The sequence below is a fragment of the Homo sapiens genome, chromosome 13, assembly GCF_000001405.40.
Source record: "Homo sapiens chromosome 13, GRCh38.p14 Primary Assembly".
In the NCBI taxonomy this organism is placed as follows: Eukaryota; Metazoa; Chordata; class Mammalia; order Primates; family Hominidae; genus Homo; species Homo sapiens.
This window is the reverse complement of record NC_000013.11, coordinates 112,739,920-112,761,590: the sequence shown is the minus strand read 5'-3', so window position 1 is coordinate 112,761,590 and position 21,671 is coordinate 112,739,920. Positions and strand designations below refer to the sequence as shown.

At 49.7% G+C, this 21,671-nt stretch overlaps 1 protein-coding gene and 1 long non-coding RNA gene across 15 annotated transcripts in view, besides 5 other annotated features; one reads left to right on the top strand and one right to left on the bottom strand.

Annotated features, from left to right (window-relative positions):
- ATP11A (ATPase phospholipid transporting 11A) overlaps positions 1 to 21,671 on the bottom strand; it is a 197,131-nt gene that overhangs the window by 125,578 nt on the left and 49,882 nt on the right. The window lies entirely within an intron of this gene.
- Positions 4,286 to 4,844: an enhancer, noted in NCBI's record as "H3K27ac-H3K4me1 hESC enhancer chr13:113411061-113411619 (GRCh37/hg19 assembly coordinates)". NCBI's record gives its function as "activates a minimal SCP1, AML or CMV promoter by ChIP-STARR-seq in primed H9 embryonic stem cells {active_cell/tissue: H9 hESC(primed)}" and the evidence as "EXISTENCE:reporter gene assay evidence [ECO:0000049][PMID:30033119]".
- Positions 4,845 to 5,404: an enhancer, noted in NCBI's record as "H3K27ac-H3K4me1 hESC enhancer chr13:113410501-113411060 (GRCh37/hg19 assembly coordinates)". NCBI's record gives its function as "activates a minimal SCP1, AML or CMV promoter by ChIP-STARR-seq in primed H9 embryonic stem cells {active_cell/tissue: H9 hESC(primed)}" and the evidence as "EXISTENCE:reporter gene assay evidence [ECO:0000049][PMID:30033119]".
- Positions 5,384 to 6,583: an enhancer, noted in NCBI's record as "BRD4-independent group 4 enhancer chr13:113409322-113410521 (GRCh37/hg19 assembly coordinates)". NCBI's record gives its function as "activates an origin of replication core promoter dependent on BRD2, P300/CBP, MED14 and CDK7 cofactors, and independent of BRD4, by STARR-seq in HCT116 cells {active_cell/tissue: HCT116}" and the evidence as "EXISTENCE:reporter gene assay evidence [ECO:0000049][PMID:35650434]".
- Positions 6,860 to 16,142, top strand: ATP11A-AS1 (ATP11A antisense RNA 1). 2 transcript variants are annotated; one of them, NR_046661.1, is made up of 2 exons: positions 6,860 to 7,097; positions 14,151 to 16,142. It is a non-coding gene; the product is annotated as an ATP11A antisense RNA 1 (long non-coding RNA). The 2 variants fall into 2 exon arrangements; NR_109811.1 differs by lacking the exon at positions 14,151 to 16,142 and having other exon boundaries at positions 6,860 to 8,891.
- Positions 13,713 to 14,212: an enhancer, noted in NCBI's record as "H3K4me1 hESC enhancer chr13:113401693-113402192 (GRCh37/hg19 assembly coordinates)". NCBI's record gives its function as "activates a minimal SCP1, AML or CMV promoter by ChIP-STARR-seq in primed H9 embryonic stem cells {active_cell/tissue: H9 hESC(primed)}" and the evidence as "EXISTENCE:reporter gene assay evidence [ECO:0000049][PMID:30033119]".
- Positions 14,857 to 15,378: an enhancer, noted in NCBI's record as "H3K27ac-H3K4me1 hESC enhancer chr13:113400527-113401048 (GRCh37/hg19 assembly coordinates)". NCBI's record gives its function as "activates a minimal SCP1, AML or CMV promoter by ChIP-STARR-seq in primed H9 embryonic stem cells {active_cell/tissue: H9 hESC(primed)}" and the evidence as "EXISTENCE:reporter gene assay evidence [ECO:0000049][PMID:30033119]".

The following is a 21,671-nucleotide window of genomic DNA, read 5'->3' as shown; positions in this document are numbered from 1 at the left end:
TCCCCTTTATCCTCAGGGGTGCTTCCAAGACCCCAGGGCATTCCTGAAACCAATAGAGTACCGAATCCTATGGACACAATGTTTTCCCTATGAACACACACCCCTGATAAAGTTTAATTTATAAATTAGGCACAGTAAGAGATTAACAATAACTAATAATAAAATAGAACAATTATAACAATATGCTGTTCCCAGTTTCACAGAGAGAAGATTCCATCTGACTGGAGATCTTGGCAACATAACAACATCTCCTGAGATTGCTGAGCGTACCATTTTCTTTTTCCTTATTAAGTCGAGAACTTTCACTTTTCACTTAAAGGAGCACCTTCTGGCTTCTCTTAGGTGTACCCGCATTGCCTGCCTCACTGCTCTTGTGCTTTGGGGCCATGATGAAGTCAAATGAGGGTTCCTTGAACACGAGCACTGCGACCCCTGGACCACGGATCTGATAACCGAGAGGCCATAAGGGGGGTGGGGAGCGTCCGCAGCCTGGAGACGCTGGACGAAGGGAGGGTTCAGTCCCTGGAGCGATGGAGCAGGCGGAGCCAGGTTTCACCACGCTCCCCAGAAGGGTGCACAAGTTAAAACTTGGGAATTGTTTATTTCTGGAATTTTCCTGTTAATATTTTCATACCTCGGTTATCTCAAGTAACTGAAACTACAGAAAGGGAAACTGTGGCTAAGGGGTCATCATCCCCACTCCACCTCCCAACAACATCTAAAAAGTCCTGTGGACTGAAGGAATGAGGAATGTGTCGTTACAATTTCCTTTGATTCTTCCCGGGCCACTGTGTTTTAAATCTCAGTTTGATTATCAAATTCAGATCAAAGCAATAAATATTTATTGGCAGAACTGTTAACAACTATGCTGGTAACTATATTTACATAATACAGTGTAATTATATTTACGCAAACATGACCTGGTGCATGGGAAGTTCTTCCAGCCTCTGAGCAAGAAGAGGGAACAGGGCCAGCTGATGAATGCATATTGAATGTCTGTGTGAACTAGCTGAAAAAAATTAGGCAAGTTTGTTTACATTGAGATCAAATCTTTTTTAAAAAGAACATTAAAAAAACAACTTAATAACCCAACCCAAATCATGTTGTTATCATTTGAGCATGTTTCTATCTGGCATGTAAAACATCTTTTTTACTGAAATCACCAGGAACTCTTCTTCCATAGTCCTCACCCAAATGGGTAATGCTAAACTTACTGGGGGCTTCTGGATGCGTCTCTGCCACCCACACTGGACTCGGCGGGGGCCCTATACACACAGCACCCAGGACACAGCAGCGCCTGGACGAAGGGAAGCATGAAACTCACAGCGAGGTGCCCCTTCCTCAACTGTACTACTATGAATTTTGAATAATTAGAGAAAAACAAGAGAAATTACTTTTATTCCCACTTTCTGGATTGCTTACACGGAAGACTGAGAAATGAAAAGACTCACGTTTTGTTTATAAGATGTTAAATGGAATCCGGCTCGGGGATGACACACTGCTCTTCAACAGAGTCAAATCTTTCTATTTCTCTTCCTTTAAGCCCCAAGCTGCATCTGCCACCCTAAGGCATATTGCCAGACGGCTTCCTTCGGTTCCTGTCCAGTTAATGATGACAGGAATTAGCTCAGCACATCGATTCGACAAGGTGGTGCTTTCTGTTGCATGCACTTTTTAAGTGAAAAGCAACTCACATGAAAAATGCATAACTTGTGCGAATAACCTACCCAAGGGCGTTTACAAAAATTAACGTGATTATCTGGTGATAAAATGTTTATAACATTTTATAAACAGAAGAATTTGCCATTTCGGAATTGACTTCATTCTGTCTTCTTGGCAAAATAGGAAAAAATAAAATTGTTCTATTAAAAAAATTAAAAGTTTACAAAACAGGCACTGAAAACCTTCTAGATCATCCTGGAAACATCCTTTACACAGTAAGCAGATGATAAAGAGTACCAATCTCCAATTTCTGCATCAATAAATGAAAGTACATTTGCTGAGCCCTTCACAGTGATACAGAAGTTTTACTGGTGTATAAGTTCAATGAACTGTTAATGTAAAACTGAAAAGTCATCGTCACAGCTGGCTGAATTTGTTACATCGCTCAGGTTAAAAATGTGTCCACGCGCTATTGTTGAAAGAGCACGCAGGTTAGGAAGTCTTCAGAGCAGGGTCTTGGGAGCAACCCCCACCGTCATGACGGTCAGAAGTCTCCGGACTCTGCCAAGTGTGTTGCGGGTGGCTGGAACAAGACTGCTCCCAGGTGAGAGCCTCTGCTTCAGAGCAAGACAGATCCAGGTTTAAACCCCAGCACGCAACAGGAAGAACCTCACCAGAGGGCTGCAGGATGTGGCCTCATCCACCCAGAGTTACCCAGAGCTCCCCCAGCCGCCTCCTGCTCTAATCCTTTCCTTTGCTTGCAGGCACGAATGTTTCTGCAGCAAACCTCTGAGTCCTCACCAAGGATAAGAGGGGACAGGGGAATGGATGAATTTCTATACCCTGCACACGTTGCTGTTTTTACAAGAGAAGTATTTGGTGTTATGTTTACCCACGGAAGTGACAAAATATAAATGTTACTCAACTTTTTATTAAATGAATTGGTTCAATGATTTTCACATCTTAACTGAAAATGTAACGTAAAAAATGAAGGCTACAAAACTGTACGTTCTAAAGCCGATTTTTTGGCTGGTGGCTGCTTCTGCATCAGTTTGCATTTATGAAGAGCACACACCCCACGGTAATGAACCGTTCTGAGATAATGTAACTGTGCAGGAAAATTGAAAAATGCTTCACAAGTGTTAGTTGCTGGAGTATTTGATTTCAAGTGCGAGAGGAGCTAGCAAGATAGATTTAAGAAATGTAGGCTGGGAGCGGTGGCTCACGCCTGTAATCCCAGCACTTTGGGAGGCCGAGATGGGCGGATCATGAGGTCAGGAGATCGAGACCATCCTGGCTAACACGGTGAAACCCCATCTCTACTAAAAATACAAAAAATTAGCCGGGCATGGTGGCGGGCGCCTGTAGTCCCAGCTACTCGGGAGGCTGAGGCAGGAGAATGTCGTGAACCCAGGAGGCAGAGCTTGCAGTGAGCCGAGATTGTGCCACTGCACTCCAGCCTGGGCGACAGAGAGAGACTCTGTCTCAAAAAAAAAAGAAAAAAAAGAAAAAAAAAGAAATGTGAAGTGTTTACTGATCCATTCTTCTTACTTCAAATGTCCTTAGTGGCCAGGTGTGGTGGCTCAAGCCTGTAATCCCAGCACTTTGGGAGGCAGGGGTGGGTGGATCACCTGAGGTCAGGAGTTCGAGACCAGCCTGGCCAACATGGTGAAACCCTGTCTCTACTAAAAATACAAAAACTAGCCAGGCATGGTGGTGCGTGCCTGTAATCCCAGCTAGTTGGGAGGTTGAGGCAGGAGAATTGCTTGAACCTGGGAAGTGTAGGTTGCAATGAGCCGAGATCGTGCCACTGCACTCCAGCCTGGCAACAGAGCAAGACTCTGTCTCAAAAACAACAACAAAAATGTCTTTAGTGTAAAAACAAAGGTTGAGACTTGGATGGAACCTGAGTAGCATGTGTCCCGCACTCGTGCATGTGGCGTGGACTCCCTGGAAGCTTCTGGAAGTTCAGAAGCAGCTCTCTGGGAACCCCACCACGCTGGCCCCTGGCTCCCCTAACACAGCGTGCAGACCTAAAGCCACTCACTCTTGCCAGAACCTCGCCTTTCTGCCGCACACACATGACGCCATCCTTGGAAGCACAGACTGCAGCGAAACACTCAGCAAGACAATCAGGAAGAAAGACGTTTTGAGTAGGTATTTTTAAAGACTTTTCTTTTTAATACAACTTAATTGTTTTTGTAATTTAATGTTTAACAATGTCTCCTGAGATTCCTGAACACTGAACAACTGGCCTGCTGGTCCGTGCCCCTGGCCCTTCCCTTGAGGGATGAGACAAGGAGGCCAGCCTGGGAAAGGAGTGGGCGTCCTGTCCACCTCCGTGAGGGGACCTCCTGCTTTTCCCGATTCAAATCAGTTCTCCTCTGCAGAGGTCTAAAACAGCCCAGTTGTGGAAACACAAAGTAAAATGTGGAAATAGAGAAGCTAGTCTTGACCTGAATAGACCTTGTAGTTTTCGCAAATACCTGTGACAGTAATTAACACCGACATAAGAGGAAGTCGTGATGACACTAAGAGACTCGGAAAACAAGTGGATTAAACACATTGCCTTCTAGAAAAAGCTGCGTGAAATGGGTTTGGAATTTCTGTTTACTCTGAAGATGAAAGCTTCCTATGTTTGTTCACCACTGGAGAGAACACAAAGGCCAGAAACACAGCACGTCTTTGTTCTGCCATGAGCACAGCTCTATTCCCAGACGCTCGCCCCTGCTTTCTGTCACAGGCGGCCATTCTCGTAGGCTGGACTCCCTAAATCCACGAGCTTGCATAGCTCCACCAGTAACACTACAGATTGTAGCAGCAGTAACTTTTTATCTTTTGCCTAAATAAATAAAAAGCACTTAGCATGCTATCTCATGTACAGTAGGTGCTCACATCAATGTGGACTAAATCCACAGAAAGCTAATTCTTCAAATATGATCATTTTGTAAACGATGTAACTAGTATGTAACAATTTCAACTAGTAAATTACTAGATGTAGTGGATGCGTTAGGAGCAGGCCCCGCGCTGGGAGCAGGCCCCGTGCTGGGAGCAGACCACGTGCTGGGAGCAGACCCCGCGCTGGGAGCAGGCCCCGTGCTGGGAGCAGACCCCTCGCTGGGAGCAGGCCCCGGCTGCCACAAGCTGCTCTGGCTGCTGTGGAAATCGTCAGACACCACACAGGCTGCCCTGGGGTGCAGAGGGCCGTGCCCCAGAAGAAAGGCAAAGAGGCATCTGGGAAGCCTCAGCCACCAGCCAAGAAGCACCTCTGACACCGTCCAGGCTCTCCAGGTGAGGCCCACCTGAGCTCAGCCGCCACCAGCGGTCTGAAATCGTGTCTGCTGTTTTTCGTGCCGTCCCCCACCTGCCCCGCCATCCGCTAGACCCTGGGAGGTAAGGTCTAGGTGACAGGGACCCTGTTACCAAGAGAGCGCCCCAGTGAGTGGTCAGACTCAACAAGCACACACACTCTGGGCAGAAGGCAGATACAGGTGCCTCTCCTGGACTGGAAGGGGACCCTGATCCTGAAGCCCAACACGCAGGTGAGAGAGGTGGCCTGCAGGGTCTAGAGAGAAAGAACTGCCAGGAAAAACACTTTCCCCTTTCCTGAAGGCACCGCAACGATGGACATGACCCTTAGTTATTTGGGGTCAGAGGTCGATTCGCACAGCCAGCCAGAATCGTAGACCCTGCCTGGAATCTAACCTGTTTCACAGACTAAGTTTTATTTAATTTGTATTTTGGTTTTGGCTTTGTAGTTTAATGTTGTAAGGATATCATTATAATCAACATATGTCAACACCAGGGTTGCTAAGAAATTTACGCTGCTCTAAGTAATGCTTCCATGACTGGAAATGATTCTAGAATCTGCTCTGAGTGACGCTTCCGTGACCGGAAATGGTTCTGGGAGCCGCTCTGAGTGCCGTTTCCGTGACCGGAAATGGTTCTGGGAGCCGCTCTGAGTGCCGCTTCCGTGACCGGAAATGGTTCTGGGAGCCGCTCTGAGTGCCGCTTCCGTGACGGGAAATGGTTCTGGGAGCCGCTCTGAGTGCCGCTTCCGTGACCGGAAATGGTTCTGGGAGCCGCTCTGAGTGCCGCTTCCGTGACGGGAAATGGTTCTGGGAGCCGCTCTGAGTGCCGCTTCCGTGACCGGAAATGGTTCTGGGAGCCGCTCTGAGTGCCGCTTCCGTGACCGGAAATGGTTCTGGGAGCCGCTCTGAGTGATGGTTCCGTGACCGGAAATGGTTCTGGGAGCCGCTCTGATTGATGCTTCCCTGACTGGAAATGGTTCTAGGAGCCGCTCTGAGTGACGCTTCCATGATTGGAAATGGTTCTGGGAGCTGCTCTGAGTGACGGTTCCGTGACTGGAAATGGTTCTGGCTAACCTTGGCTGCAGTCCTGCAGGGAGGCTCTTCTTGTGTCAATTTTACATGCAAGAAACGGAGGCTCTGAGAGGACCTGGAGGGATCCCATAGGCAGTTCGGGGCCGTCCTCTGGCAAGCGCCCTGTGGGTGACTGCTACAAGGGACGCAGACAAGAAGCGGAAAACCGGTCTCTGGGTGTAGAGAGACTGTCCAAGCTGGGCAGAGTTCTAGGATCCAAGGAGAGGGTGGGACTGTGCAATGGAAAGCAGAAGACACGAAAACCCAGCGACCTCTGACCTGTGAAGCAGAGGCCCACAGACCCGCCCCCAGTCCACGTGCAGCCTGCAGCCTGTCTGTGTGGTCCATGAACTGAGAATGCTTTTACGTCCTTAAATGGTTGAAAAAAATCAAAAGAAAAGTAACTGTTTGGGGACACGTGAAAATGTTCGGAAAGTACAATTTCCTCGTCCACAGTCGCATTTCATCGGCCCACAGTGGTCCTCCTGAGCCATGGACTGACGACGGCGCCCTGGCTACTAGGGCACAGCTGGCACTGCAGAGGCCACGATGCCCAGGTCCGCGCCATCCAGCCCTCGGCAGGAGCTCTGCGCCCACCGCGGAGCAGGTCAGGCACACGCGCTCGGGAGGGGCAAGTGCAGGGTGTCTAGGAGGGCTGGGGAAGCCCTGCAGTGGGGCCGGGCCAGCATTCCCGGAGCTCCATGGACAGGTGGTCGATTGTGGATCGTGGAGAGGCCTCCTGAGCAGGCTTGTGGGGTGGAGCCCTGCCCCCCGCCCGCATTTGTGACACGCCCCTGGGTGGCCAGGTGCCCTGCAGTGTGAGACATTCCAGCCAATGAGACCCACAGGCTTTGGAGGCGATGGGTCCACCTGTGAGTGGAGTACAGAACGTGGGGGAACAGCTTCCCAGGAGTCTGGGGCTCAACCTCTCCAGGAGGCCCTGAAGGTGGCCTGAGAAAGTTCTGCCTCTCGGGGGGGCAGCGTGGAGCACAGGAGCCGCAGTGAGTCCTGCCTGGCTCTAAGCACCACTTTCCAAGCATGCAGCTTTGGCAGGTGAATTAGCCCAGTACTCAGTTTCCTCGGCGGGAGAGCAGGGCTGTGGGGTGGCACCTGCCTCACAGGGCCGCTGGGAGGGATGCCTGGGTGACAGTGAACGCAAGGAGCATGCTCATACACCCCAAACATGGCGAGCGTTATCTGGAGGCATATGCAGAGGTGGGACTGGGGACCAGGTCTCCAAAGACCAAGAATCAGCCGAGGCACTAAGGGGCAGATTGCAGAGGTGAACAGTCCCGCCAGTGAGAACCCGGCCCTGTTATTCCACGGCCTTCTCTGCCTTCTGCGAGAAAACGAATTTCCCAGACCCCAGCGCAGGCCTTTCTCACATCTCAGCAGCAGGGACCGTGGCTCCAACTGCGGCTCAGGATGAAGGCCCCAGGCGCTGAAGAGAGTGAAGCCGAACCCCTCCTCAATCCCAAAACACTGGGGACCACGGTGAGACAGCGACGCCCTGGATGCTGCCTGGTCAAGGTCAGGCTGTGATCGGCCTGTCAGGCGTGTGGCAGAACCAGCTTCAGAGGCAGCGGTGTCCACGTAATGAGCTCAAATGATGCCCCAGGAAGAACATAGATGGCTTCTTTCTTTAATTCCTCAGCATGTTTTTAAATTTAAATAACTCTACATTGCATTTTGGAAAAAGCGCTTCTAACATAAGCCTGTTTGACTGCAGTTAAATAATTTATGTGTCTCTTGGCCTGGGAATCACTGTCTCCATTATTTTTTTTATGTGACTCACTTTATTGCTCCATTATTATTAATAATAAATATGTCAGGAATCAGGCACACAAAAATATCAAGAATAAAGAAGTATATAAAGAGCTCCTCAAGACACAACCCAAATGAAAGATGGGCAAAAGATATAAACAAGCTGTTCTTTTTCAAAAAAGAGAAAAGAACAGCAAATGGACTTAAACACATAAAAAGATTCTCAACCTGCCTGTTAGCAGGAGAAGTACAAGATAAAACCACAACAGGACGTGGCATCTCATCCAGCAGCGGTAGGCAGGCCCAGAAGCTGGCAAGCCGGGCAGCGCAGGCTGCTGGCGAGGTAGGTGGAGAACAGGCATCCTCCTACGGCACTGACAGAGCAAACCGCAAACGTACCCCCCTTCTCAGAAATCTCCCTTCTCCAAAGCGATCCCAAAGCTGTCCTCGCAGAAATATAGCTGATGTACTCACAAGGCATCTGCAGCACTATTTATAAAAGCAGAAGATTGGAGCCCAGCTGTCCATGATGTGGGGCGGCCAGGGGCGGGGGAGGTTGAGTCCACAGGGGAACATCACGCAGCTGTGCAGACACATGCACGCCATCCACATAACACGCAGGTACAAAGGGACGGAGGGACAGAGAGAAAAAAGTCTGGGCCGGGGTAACTGTAAGCCACCGTATATGTCATTGGGAACACTGACTCATTTACCCTGGGCCTGATGTCACTGACTTCTACCTCCTGCCCCAAGACTTAGAGTGAAAGATGAAAAGATGACCTGTTAACTCACCTGTGGGCAGGATGTGTAGACCATGTAGCATATGTGATTGAATACACAGCCAGTCCCTCCATTAACTCCAAAGGACACGGCTCCTTCGGCAGCTGCTGGAGGCCAGGCGGAAGCCACTCCCAGGTGGGTGCATCCTGGCTGACTTTCCTGGAAAGTCCCGATGCTACACTGACAACTACATTCTCTTTAGCAATTGTAGGATGGCCAGCAAGGACACTGTGGTTATCGGCGGTGGAAAGTAAATTCTTGGCATCCTACTGCTATTCCAGGCTATTAAACTACATTACGGTATTCTGTGTTGTAGAAATGTGTGGTTCATTCCACTGAAAGGGCAATTAAGTTTGTATGGTCAGAACAACTCTCAGTAAAATTCCTCATTAATTTTCTCACATAGAAATACACAACCCGTCAGACGGACGCGTATTCAGTGCTGAAGACGATGGCAGCAGGCTGGGGGTGGGGACAGAAAGAGGAGCCCCCGTCCCTCACAGCCCGCTCCGCACAGGGGCGCCCACCAGGCACAGGGGTACCCGCTCCACACAGGGGCGCCCGCCGGGAGGATTCTCCTGAGCTGCACTCTCCACCCCCGGGAACCCAGGAGACTTTGGGAATGGCGCTGCATGTCACTCCTGTGCTCAAACAGGTCCTCGCAGGAGGCCTTCCTGACTGCAGCACAGAAAAAGGCTGCCCTCCTCCCGGCCCCGAGCCCCACTGTCCTGCCCCATTTTCTTCTCCATGTACATCCCCACCTGACACAGCCGCCGTCACTGTTGTGACTTCTCTGCTGCCAGACGTCCCCCACCTTGAAACGAGGCAGGCCATTTATGACATAATCAGACACAGGGTTTACAGTGAGAGGCCCTAAGAAAGGAAACATCCTAATTTCCTAACAAATGAATGACCAATACTAGACCAATTCCTGAAAGGCTTATACCTGTGGAAAGGGGGAAGGGGTCCCTTAAAAGCATGGGGCACTCCAGGGCTCAGGAAAAGATGAACGACTTAGCCACATCGTTATTTACAAAGATGCAATGACATATATATTTGTGTATTTACACACACGCATGTGTGTATGTGTATACCATAATGTCAAAAGACAAATGAAAAACTGGGAGGCCAGTCACAGTGGCTGATGCCTGTAGTCCCAGCACTCTGAGGCGGGAGAATCACTGGAACCAGGCTGCAGTGACGCGGGATCACAGCACTGCACTCCAGCCTGGGTGACAGAGTAAGACCCTGTCTCAAAAAAAGGGGGGGGGGATTATCTGCAGTATGCATATCAGTCAAAGGGCCAATGTCTGTTTTTTTTTTTGTTTTGTTTTGTTTTGTTTTTGAGATGGAGCCTCACTGTCGCCCAGGCTGAAGTGCACTGGTGCGATCTCGGCTCACTGCAACCTCCACCTTCCGGGTTCAAGTGATTCTCATGCCTCAGCCTCCCTAGTAGCTGGGATTACAGGTGCGCGTCACCACATCCGGCTAATTTTTGTATTTTTAATAGAGATGGGGTTTCACCATGTTGGCCAGGCTGGTCTCAAATTGCTGGCCTCAAACAATCCACCCAACTCAGCCTCCCAAAGTGCTGGGTTTACAGGCATCAGCCACACTGTACCTGGCAAGGGCTAATTTATTTAATATAAAAAGAGCTCTCACAAATCAAGAGAAAAAAATGAACAGCCCAATAAACAAATGGCAGGGTGTATTCGCAGGCTGTTCATGGAAGAAAAACGTACGGTGGCAATTTAGCAGTAAACAAACAATACCAAGACACATGCCTTTCGACACAGTAGCTCCACCTCTACAAACATCCATGGAAGGACACGAAGACGCGCTTACACCGGTGTTCATCTTGCTGGAAAGGAACAGCCCTGCTCACAACAGTGAGAAAAGGGCGGTCCCACAGGGAGCAGAGAGACCCTGCGGCCCCACCGCCAAGGTTCAGCTCCTCCACAGTGGGCAGCCGTCTACGTGTTATGCCTCAATTCCCATCTCTAAAGTGGGAATAATAATGCTATTGTACCTCATGATGACATTACACCGATGAAGTTAGAATGGCACAGAATTAATTGCTCTATAAATGTTTGATGAAGGAGAGGATAATGATAAATAAAAATATCATGATGACGGTAATTATCATAACAATTCTACTTGTTATAAAAAGGCAGGGGGAAGCTACGTGACCCAGAAGAGGTCAGAAGTCATCTCTCCCAAACAGGCAGCTTCCACTTCCAACCTTCCCCGAACTCAAAGGAGGCTTTGTTATTCTCCCAAACGAAAACCTAGTGCAGTAAACACTAGTGAGCAAAGTGGACTGAAAGACTGAGAAATTCACGAGAGGCTGAAGGGGGATTCAACCCCGCGTCCTTCAGCAGGCGTGTCCCCACGTGGGAGGATGGAGACTCTCCTTCCCTAAGACAGAAATTCACGAGAGGCTGAAGGGGATTCAAACCCGCATCCTTCAGCAGGCGTGTCCCCACGTGGGAGGATGGAGACTCTCCTTCCCTAAGACAGAAATTCACGAGAGGCTGAAGAGGGATTCAACCCCGCGTCCTTCAGCAGGCGTGTCCCCACGTGGGAGGATGGAGACTCTCCTTCCCTAAGACAGAAATTCACGAGAGGCTGAAGGGGATTCAAACCCGCATCCTTCAGCAGGCGTGTCCCCACGTGGGAGGATGGAGACTCTCCTTCCCTAAGACAGAAATTCACGAGAGGCTGAAGGGGACTCAACCCCGCATCCTTCAGCAGGCGTGTCCCCACGTGGGAGGATGGAGACTCTCCTTCCCTAAGACAGAAATTCACGAGAGGCTGAAGGGGACTCAACCCCGCATCCTTCAGCAGGCGTGTCCCCACGTGGGAGGATGGAGACTCTCCTTCCCTAAGACAGAAATTCACGAGAGGCTGAAGGGGACTCAACCCCGCATCCTTCAGCAGGCGTGTCCCCACGTGGGAGGATGGAGACTCTCCTTCCCTAAGACAGAAATTCACGAGAGGCTGAAGGGGGATTCAACCCCGCTTCCTTCAGCAGGCATGTCCCCACGTGGGAGGATGGAGACTCTCCTTCCCTAAGACAGAAATTCACGAGAGGCTGAAGGGGGATTCAACCCCGCGTCCTTCAGCAGGCGTGTCCCCACATGGGAGGATGGAGACTCTCCTTCCCTAAGACAGAAATTCACGAGAGGCTGAAGGGGATTCAACCCCGCATCCTTCAGCAGGCGTGTCCCCACGTGGGAGGATGGAGATTCTCCTTCCCTAAGACAGAAATTCACGAGAGGCTGAAGGGGATTCAACCCCGCATCCTTCAGCAGACGTGTCCCCACGTGGGAGGATGGAGACTCTCCTTCCCTTTCTCTTCCTAACACAGTATCCACATTCCTAGGAATCAACGTTCCCAGCTTTTCTCTGATTAATATCTAGGTTCAGTACTTTCCCCAAAGCATATCTGTGTCTTCTCTTCTTTTCTGAGTTCTGTAAATCTCCTTTGCTTATTTTTATCTGTAAGACTTTTAATACTCAACAAGTTGCAACTTTTAGTAAAAAATTCCTTAAGCCTTTGACCAATGCTGGGAATATTTTTGAGAATGTAGTTAATTCAGGAAAGTCATTCAATAGTGAAAGACTTTTAAAATAAAAGTTAGAATGCTACGAAATGAAAGTTTCCCTTATTCTTTTAAGCGTGGCAGAAGTTCTTAATTTCTATTAAGAAATAGAAGGCTGGGACCAGGGATGACACATTCCAGCTCTCTCCACTTGGCTGCTGCTTGAGTTGGGCACAGAGCCTGGCGGCTTAGGGAGCTAGACCGGCTGCACTGTGCGGAGATGGAGGCGCATCCATGGCCCACGGCATCCACCAGAGCAGACAGCCTCATGCTGTGGCACGCCAGGGAGGCCGCTGGGGACGCTGCAGCCACCTGCCCTGGGGCCCCAGCAGAGCTGGGCTCTGTAGGTCACTCCAGCTGTGGGCACCCTGACGCCCAGCCCACCCGTGACCCAGTGCATGGCTCAAATGGCAACATTCTGTGTGTGCTCCGTGATGTGGAAGAGGTGAGGCACATAGCCGCAAAGGGCGGCAGTGGCTGTCTTTAACAAACGCGAGTGTTAAGGACACTGGCATGACCTCGAAGCTCCTCCAGTAGTTAGATCCGACCACATACTGAAATTTTAATGGGAAACTGTTGAAGATATTGATCTACAAGCACCATTTTCTGCTTGATAATATGGTTTTAAAACATTTTTTACATTATCTCTGTAGCTGGCTAGCAAAAACACAATTGCTTATTTCGGATTAACAGGAAGAAGCATAAATGACTATAATGTAAAAATTGCATTCAGGCCGGGCGTGGTGGCTCACGCTTGTAATCCCAGCACTTTTGGAGGCCTCGGCGAATGGATCGCATGAGTCCAGGAGTCTGAGACCAGCCTGGGTGACAGAGCAGAACCCTGTCTCTACAAAGAATACAAAAATTGGCTGGGTGTGGGAGCGCATACCTACAGTCTCAGCTACTCTGGAGGCTGAGATGGGAGGATTGCTTGAGCCCAGGAGGCGGAGGCTGCAGTAAGCTGAGATCATGCTATTGCTCTCCAGCCTGCACAACAGAGCAAGATCCCATCTCAATAAAAAGAAATGAAAGAAATGCATTTATATTTATGATTGTTTCTCAGAATAAATATATCTACTACATGATCGCCAAAGTTAGAAGGTAATGAAGACCCATCTTAGTTTGAGAGTCCCACAAATGCCTTCTAGCTTCTGTCTATAAATACAGGTTGAGTAGCCCTTATCCAAAATGCTTGGGACCAGATGTGCTTTGGATTTTGGGACATTTGCATATGCATCATGAGATACCTTGTGATGAGACCCAAATCTAAACACAAAATTCATTTGTGTTTCACACACACCTCATACACACAGCCTGATGGTAATTTTATACAATATTTTAAATAATTTTATGCATGAAAGTTTGTGTCAACAGCTTATGAATGGAATTTTCCACTTGTGGCATCATGCTGGTGCTTGAAAAGTTTCAGATTTTTGGGCATTTTGGATTTGGGATTTTGGAATGAGGGATGCTCAAATTCATCCCATCCCTTCAATTTTGCCTTACCCTTTCTTTCTGCATACAATCCTGTGTTCCTTCGTTTTGTTTTGTTTTTTTTTTGAGATGGAGTCTTACACTCTGTCCGTCCGAATGGAGTGCAATGGCGTGATCTCTGAACACTGCAACCACCGCCTCCCAGGTTCAAGCAATTCTCCTGCCTCAGCCTCCCGAGTAGCTGGGATTACAGGCGTGCACCACAATGCCTGGCTAATTTTTGTACTTTTAGTAGAGATGGGGTTTCCCCATGTTGGCCAGGCCGGTCTCGAACTCCTGACCTCAAGTGATCCGCCGGCCTTGGCCTCCCAAAGTGCAGGGATTACAAGCATGAGCCACCATACCAGGCCCTGTGTTACTTTTTGTAATTTGCTAAAAAGCTACAGTAGGGCTATTGAATGTGCACATAATGCACTCTCTGTTTCTTTGAAACACTGCCAAAAACACTATTTTGCCTTTGCAGTTTCTTGGCACGCTGGCTGAAGACATGTTGCCCACAAGCTGAGGGAGGTCCTTACCCGTGGACGCCAAGCTCCGGGAGGCTGCAGTGGCGGCAGCTGAGTCTGCAGGTGGAGAGGTGCAGGGACTGTTTTGCCTCCACCTCCTTCAATACCTACTTTTCTTTCCAGCAACAGTCCCTTCCCTTACGCTCCCGAATCCACCCTGGCCCTGAGGCTGCACCTGAGTACCACATCCTGACCCCACTTGTTTGCAAGACGTCTGCATGTCCACAAGTGCAGCGTTCATCTCATCTCAACAAGCGATCCCTCCGGAGCAGACGGGTGATCCCTACCACCTTCTGAACACTCCTACTCATCATCTCGGTAACACCCTCTACCTGTTCCATACCTAGGCCAGAGGTTTTCACCCCGGCCACACGTCAGTACCACTTAGGAAGTTAAAAAAAAAAAAACTATGCCAATGCAAGCCAATGACAGAAAAAAATCAATTACCCGATTTTAAAATAGGCAAAGAACCTCAATAGACATTTGTAGCAAGAAGGTCTAATAAGGAGATGAAAAGTGCTCAAATTAAAACCACAATGAGGCCAGGCACAGCAGCTCACAGCTGTAATCCCAGCACTTAGGGAGGTCAACGTAGGAGGATCACTTGAGTTCAATACCAGCCTGAGCAACCTAATGAGACCCTCCCTCTCCAAAAAAAGTTGTCTTTTTTTTTTTTTTTTTTTAATTAGCCAGGCATGGTGGTGCACGCCTGTGATCCCAGCTACTGGGGAGACTGAGGTGGGAGGATCGCTTGAGCCCAGGAGGTCGAAGCTGCAGTGAGGTATGGTTGTGCCACTGCACTCCAGCCTGGGTAAGAGAGCGAGGTGCTGTCTCTAAAAAACAACAACAAAACCCCACAATGAGATACTACCTACACGGAGCAGGATGGCTGCTACCAAAACACTAGACAGTGCCAAGTGCCGGTGAGGACGTGGGGAACCAGAGCCCCAGTTACCCGGGGAGGACGCGGGGAGCCGGAACCCCAGTTACCCGGTGAGGACGTGGGGAACCGGAACCCCAGTTACCCGGGGAGGACGTGGGGAGCCGGAACCCCAGTTACCCGGTGAGGACGTGGGGAACCGGAGCCCTGTGCACTGTTGGTGCAAGTGTGAAACGACACGGCTGCTATGGAGACAGCACGGAGGTTCCTCAGAGAATTAAACATAGGTATGACCCAGCACAGGATCCAGCAGTGCCACCTCTGGGCGCGCATCCAAAAGACACGAACTCAGTACGTGGAGGAGACGTCAGCACACGATCACCGCCGCCAGCATTCACAGCGGCCTACGGCAGACGCCCAAGAGTCCATCACAGGTGAACGGACAAGAAAAACGTGGTGTATACACACAACAGAACGTGATTCCGCCACAAAACGACACAGGATGAGTCCACTGAAATGACGTATCTAAAGTGGTCAAAATCACAGACAGAGAAAGCAGAACGGTGGTCACCAGGGCCTGGGGGAGGGGAGGTGGGGACACCTAGTTTAACGGCCCAGAGGCTGAGTTTTGCAAGACGGAGAATTTCTGGAGTTCCGCTGCACGACAATGTGGAGGTGCTCAATACTGCTGAACTGTACACTTAACATGGCTATGATGGTCAGTTCCATGCATGCTTTTTTTACAATTCAAAACTTTAGAAAATTATTTAAAACATAACAATACCAAGCCTGGGTCCTGCCTCTCACCGCTCCTAATCTTTTTGTTTTATGCTTCTCGATGATCCTTTTGTTTTTTTGGCTTTCCTCACTCATTCTCATATGATTCTAATATATAGCTGTGAGGAGGAACACCTACAAATTATAAACTAAAATTTGAAACTGTCTCTGATTAGGGGATGTATATTTATTGTGCATCCTTTTATTCTCTTCATACTAGGGTACACAGTAAGAGCTTAGTACTCACTAAACATTCACATTATTACCAACTGAATAAAAGAATGAATGATTATTTATTTGGGTGGTACTAATACTCTAAACATACTTTAAAACACTGGGATAAAATTTTAAATAGCTACATTCTAATTCTGATTATGGGCTGGGGCGGTGGCTCACGCCTGTAATCCCCACACTTTGGGAGGCCCAGGTGGGTGAATCACCTGAGGTCAGGAGTTCAAGACCAGCCTGGCCAACATGGTGAAACCCTGTCTCTACTAAAAATACAAAAATTAGCCAGGCGTGGTAGCGGGCGCCTGTAGTCTCAGCTACTTGGGAGGCTGAGGCAGGAGAATTGCTTGAACCCAGGAAGCGGAGATTGCAGTGAGCCGAGATGGCACCACTGCACTCCAGCCTCAGCAACAGAGTAAGACTCCGTCTCAAATAATAGTAATAGTTATTATTATTATGCTACTAACTTATCTCGAAACTAGTAAGTCTTAGCTATCCAGTGCCCAATTACCCCATCAGTAAAATCCTCACATTTTCTGATGAATCACTGTGTGCCACGTACTATTTTAAGACTCCCAGATGTATGATCACATTTAAAACTCACCATTGTTTGAAAGGGACATCCCTGTTATTTTCATTTCCCAGTTGAAGAAATTGAGGCTGGAGAGCTCACATATCTTACATGAAGTAGGGAAGGAATTTGAACTGGAGTTGGCTAACCACAACGTTTTAACTTGGGACACACTTGGAACACTGTTCAGAGCACTCTGTGCTTTACACACCAGCCGGGTGACTAAGAGTCGACCAGGAGGGAAGGTGTGGAGGATGCACTTTCCTGGCAAAAGCAAAACACCTCCACAGCACCGAGCCGAGAGCTGACTGCAGGCCAACGAGCCCGAGAAGTGCAGCGGCTCACCCGTGAGGGCAGGTGGTGAGCAGAGGGCCGGGGAGGGAGGCACCAGCAGCTAACAATCAGCTTTCACGTGAGAAGCTGCCAGGGAGAGTCACCAAATGTGAAGATTAGGCTCCCCATGTCTGAGATTCACTGGACAGAAATAAGCATCCCTGAAATCGCCACTCAGAGAAATCCATCAACACACATCAACATACAGAACACTGCACTCCATCACACCCTCCCAGACCATCCGAAGCCGGGTGCCGGGAGGAAAGAAAAATCCATCAACACACATCAATATACAGAACACCATACTCCATCACACCCTCCCAGACCGTCCCAAGCCGGGTGCCGGGAGGACAGAGAAATCCGTCAACACACATCAACATACAGAACACTGCACTCCATCACACCCTCCCAGACCGTCCCAAACCGGGTGCTGGGAGGACAGCGACATTCTCCTGCCTTCTTGTTTTAACTTTCTTGACCACTGACAAATGCGTGAAGAGGAAGCCTTCCTTACGTGAAAGAGGCAAGTGGCCCACTCACCGCAGCTGGACACGCAGCTCAGCCGTCATAGTATGATGACTAAAATGACCACGTCCATACCAGCAGGAAATATTCTAACCTGAAAACTGGCTTAACCTGTAACTTGCACTGTTGGTTCAATCAAAACCAAATACTTTACAAATGCACAACTCCCCTTTTTCCTTCAGACCTGGTTAAAGTTCTTAGCAAACTCCCCAAATTCAAAATGAAGCCTCTGGATGGTGGATGGGCCTATACTAAACTCCAGGGAAGGACACCCTGAGACCACAGGAAATAAACAACCAATCCTCTTTTCCTGAAGCTGTATAGGTTACCTTAAGCTTACTGTGTTACATTCCTGAGCTCAAAGGAACCTACATCTGCCTAAGCCGTCAACTCTAGCAGGAACCTACAACACCTGCCTATGCTGTCAGTGCTAGCAGGAACCTGCAACATCGCACAGGTTATCACACTCTAGCAGGAACCTACAACACCTGCCTATGCCGTCAGTGCTAGCAGGAACCTACAGCATCTACACAGGTCATCACACTGTAGCAGGAACCTACAACACCTGCCTATGCCGTCAACGCTAGCAGGAACCTACAACATCTGCACAGGTTATCACACACTGTAGCAGGAACCTACAACACCTGCCTATGCCATCAGTGCTAGCAGGAACCTGCAGGAACATACAACACCTGCCTATGCCGTCAGTGCTAGCAGGAACCTACAACATCTGCACAGATCATCACACTGTAGCAGGAACCTGCAACATCTGCCCAATAACCACACCCTTAAAAACCTCCCTCAGCCCATTCTATTTTCCAGCAATGCTATTGAATACAGCCATATTTTTTTCACGATGGTGAAAATACACGTTTCCCACCCATGTGGCAGACATCTCACAAAATACATGTGTTCATCACAGGGAGTAAGCAGATCAAGGATGAGGGCACTGGAGCAACTGTCTGCCAGTCTGAATCTTCCCCAGAGAAGCCACAGCAGGCTAACGACTTCGCCTCTCCATAGAACCCTCTGCACAGGTGAGGTCTGCTGGCACATGTGCTGTCATACACTGTGCTACTGATGCTTAGAAACCTAACTAGATTCACAGGGTGAGTTCTGTATCAGACATCTAGGAAATTCTTGAGTGAGTGCCTCTCCCCTCTGCCCACGTACACAATAAGGAAAAACAGGTGTCTATCTGCAGAAAGTCTCGCTACACAGTAAGGATTGGAAAAACAGGTGTCTACCTGTGGAAAGTCTTGCCATTGTCAGGGGTCAGAATGGAAAATGCTCTTTCTGACCTTCAGTCTGAGCACGTGTCCGAGCCCCCTGAGATCCAGCCACACTGCGGGGAGGCACAGGGCGAAGGCCGGCCGTCACACACGGGGGATACCATCTAAGTGAAATAAAATGGAGCAGGCTGAGACTGCCTCAGGAAGCCGATGTTGCGCTCCACAGGTAGCTGGCATAAGCGGTAGCTTCGCAGAATTATCGTAAGTGGCATCATTTTTACACAGCTGAGCAAATTCTCAGGTTTTCCCTTTTCTCACTTTTGGTCGTCCAGTGCCTGAAATTAATGCTAATGAACATCCAGACTACGAAATCAGACAGCACCTGTCATAAGTCCCCCCACACACGACCTGTGACACCGCGTGCTCACACCCCAGTCTCCCACAGAGACCAGCGCCCGCAGGGGCTCCTCCGTGGGACCACATGCTGAGCAGCACAGACACTAGTGTCTCAGGCGCAACTCGACATGGGAGGTGACAGGACAGCACCCCCTTCCACAGGAGGTGTCTCCCCCACCCCCCAAGGGTTCCCATGCTGCATTTCCCATGCAACATCAGGCCAGGCAGCAGCCATCTCTACATGAGCCTGCACTTATTTTAAAAACCTCCTTTCAACCTGGCACCATCTAGATCAAGAATGAGTGTTCCTGTTTGCCTCCAGGGGTGGCTGCTCCCTGTGGACAATGCGTTCACCCCGCACCACCCATACTTAGGACACGTGAGAAAAGCGCACTGTGGGGAGGGGGAGCACTCCCCTGTGGGGGAAGGGGAGCACTCTTCTGTGGGGAGGGGGACCACTCTTCTGTGGTGGGGGAACCACTCTTCCGTGGGGAAGGGGAGCGCTCTTCCGTGGGGAAGGGGAGCAGTCTATGGAGGAAGAGGAGCGCTCTGGGGAAGAGGAGCAATCTTTGGGGGAAGAGAAGTACACCTCCACAGGGAGCAGAGCACTCTTTACTCCCCTGGACCCGGAACAGTCACTGTGAGGCTCAAAATACCCGGTAAAACATTAAAGGCCCTGATGCACAGAGGCAGATGGAAAACAGTGCAGAGAGAGCCACAAACAAAAACAGCCGGCATCCACTGAATATGGGCAGAGAGAGAGGTGGCTTGGCGGGAACAAACGACTAAGGAGCACGGGCCCCTGAGTCTCCCTGCAGCCCACCTGTCCCAGATCAGCACAGGGACGGAGTCTCCAGCCCACAGTGAGGCTATGGCCTGCCCCAGTTGGCTAGTGCCTCCACCCTCCACCGCTGATGCAACGGGCAGCCTGGAGCAGCCCAGGCCAGGGTAATGGTGCTGGACCATTGTTCTCTGCCCTCCACCATGACAGGTGCCCCCAGAGAGTTCATCTGCCCCACAGCCCCGCAGGGACCGGGCCACCTTCTCCACCCCAGTGTGGCTGCCCAACCCTCCCGACTACAGCTTCTGCCCCACAGCCCCGCAGGGACCAGGCCACCTTCTCCATCCCTGGTGTGGCTGCCCAACCCTCCCGACTACAGCTCCTGCCCCACAGCCCCGCAGGGACCGGGCCACCTTCTCCACCCCCAGTGTGGCTGCCCAACCCTCCCGACTACAGCTCCATGTCCCTCACCTCCCCAGTCCCCAGCCTCCCAAAAAAACATAAAGCTCTGTGGAAACACAGACACAGCAAACAGAGCACTTCCACCCACATCTTAAATCTCTTTGTGGCTTTCTTTGGCTTTACATTAGAAATATAAAGTATTAGAAACACTGACCTAAACAAGCAAACAAGGCCCATGTAAGTGATTCAGACCCGTGCTGTGCCTTGCTTGTTTGGTTCTCAGACAACCACAAAAATTCTGAAAACGCACTATTTTAAAATGCTCCCAAATCCATTTCTGACGAGTGAAAATTCCGCCCTGAATAACGCTGAGCGCAGCATGACGTCAGCAGCGGAAGTGGGTGGGTCAACGACCCGGGACCCTGATGGCGAGCGCCTTCTGCAACAAAACAGCTAGATCTTTCCTGCACAGCCAGAGCTCCCCAGCTTCCAGAAGCTTCTCTGGATGTTACACAACAGGAAGTCCTCCCGTGGGATCTGTGGGGAGGAGACCGGTGGTGACAGTGCAACCCAGTTACAGTGAAAACTGAGCTCCCTGGGCAGCACGCCTTGTCTGCTGAGAGCTACAAAGCCCTCTCTTCTCCGTGCAGGTCTTTTTCTGGAGCCCTGGGCTACGTTGCATTTTAAAACCTCCCTCTAAAAGGTTATCGGATGCCATCATCACTTGAAGAGTAAAACGTTCCTACCCTGGCTTTGTGGCTATTTCTGCCAAAGGCCAGACACAACTTAAGAAAGATTTGGGCCGAGACAGTAGCTCATGCCTGGAATCCCAGCACTTTGGGAGGCTGAGGTGGGTGGATCACCTGAGGTCAGGAGTTCAAGACCAGCCTGGCCAACATGGCGAAACCCTGTCTCTACTAAAAATACAAAATTAGCCGGGTGTGGTGGTGCGCCAGTAATCCCAGCTACTCAGGAGGCTGAGGCAGGAGAATCACTTGAACCTGGGATGAGGTTGCAATGAGCCGAGATAGCACCATTCCACTCCAGCCTGGGCAACAGAGCGAGACTCCGTCTCAAAAAAATATATATACATATAGATATCTATATATATATATATATATATAGAGAGAGAGAGAGAGAGAGAGAATTCACATGCTATAAAATTCACCCTTTACAATGTACAATTCAGTGGTTTTTTAGTTCATTTACAGAATTGCACAATCGTCACCACCATCTAATTCTAGAGCATTTTCATCATCCCAAGAAGGCACAAGACCTACAGTCGCTCCCACGCCCCCTCCCCCAGCCCCTGCCAACCATTAATCTACTTTCTGTCCCTACAAATTTGCCAGT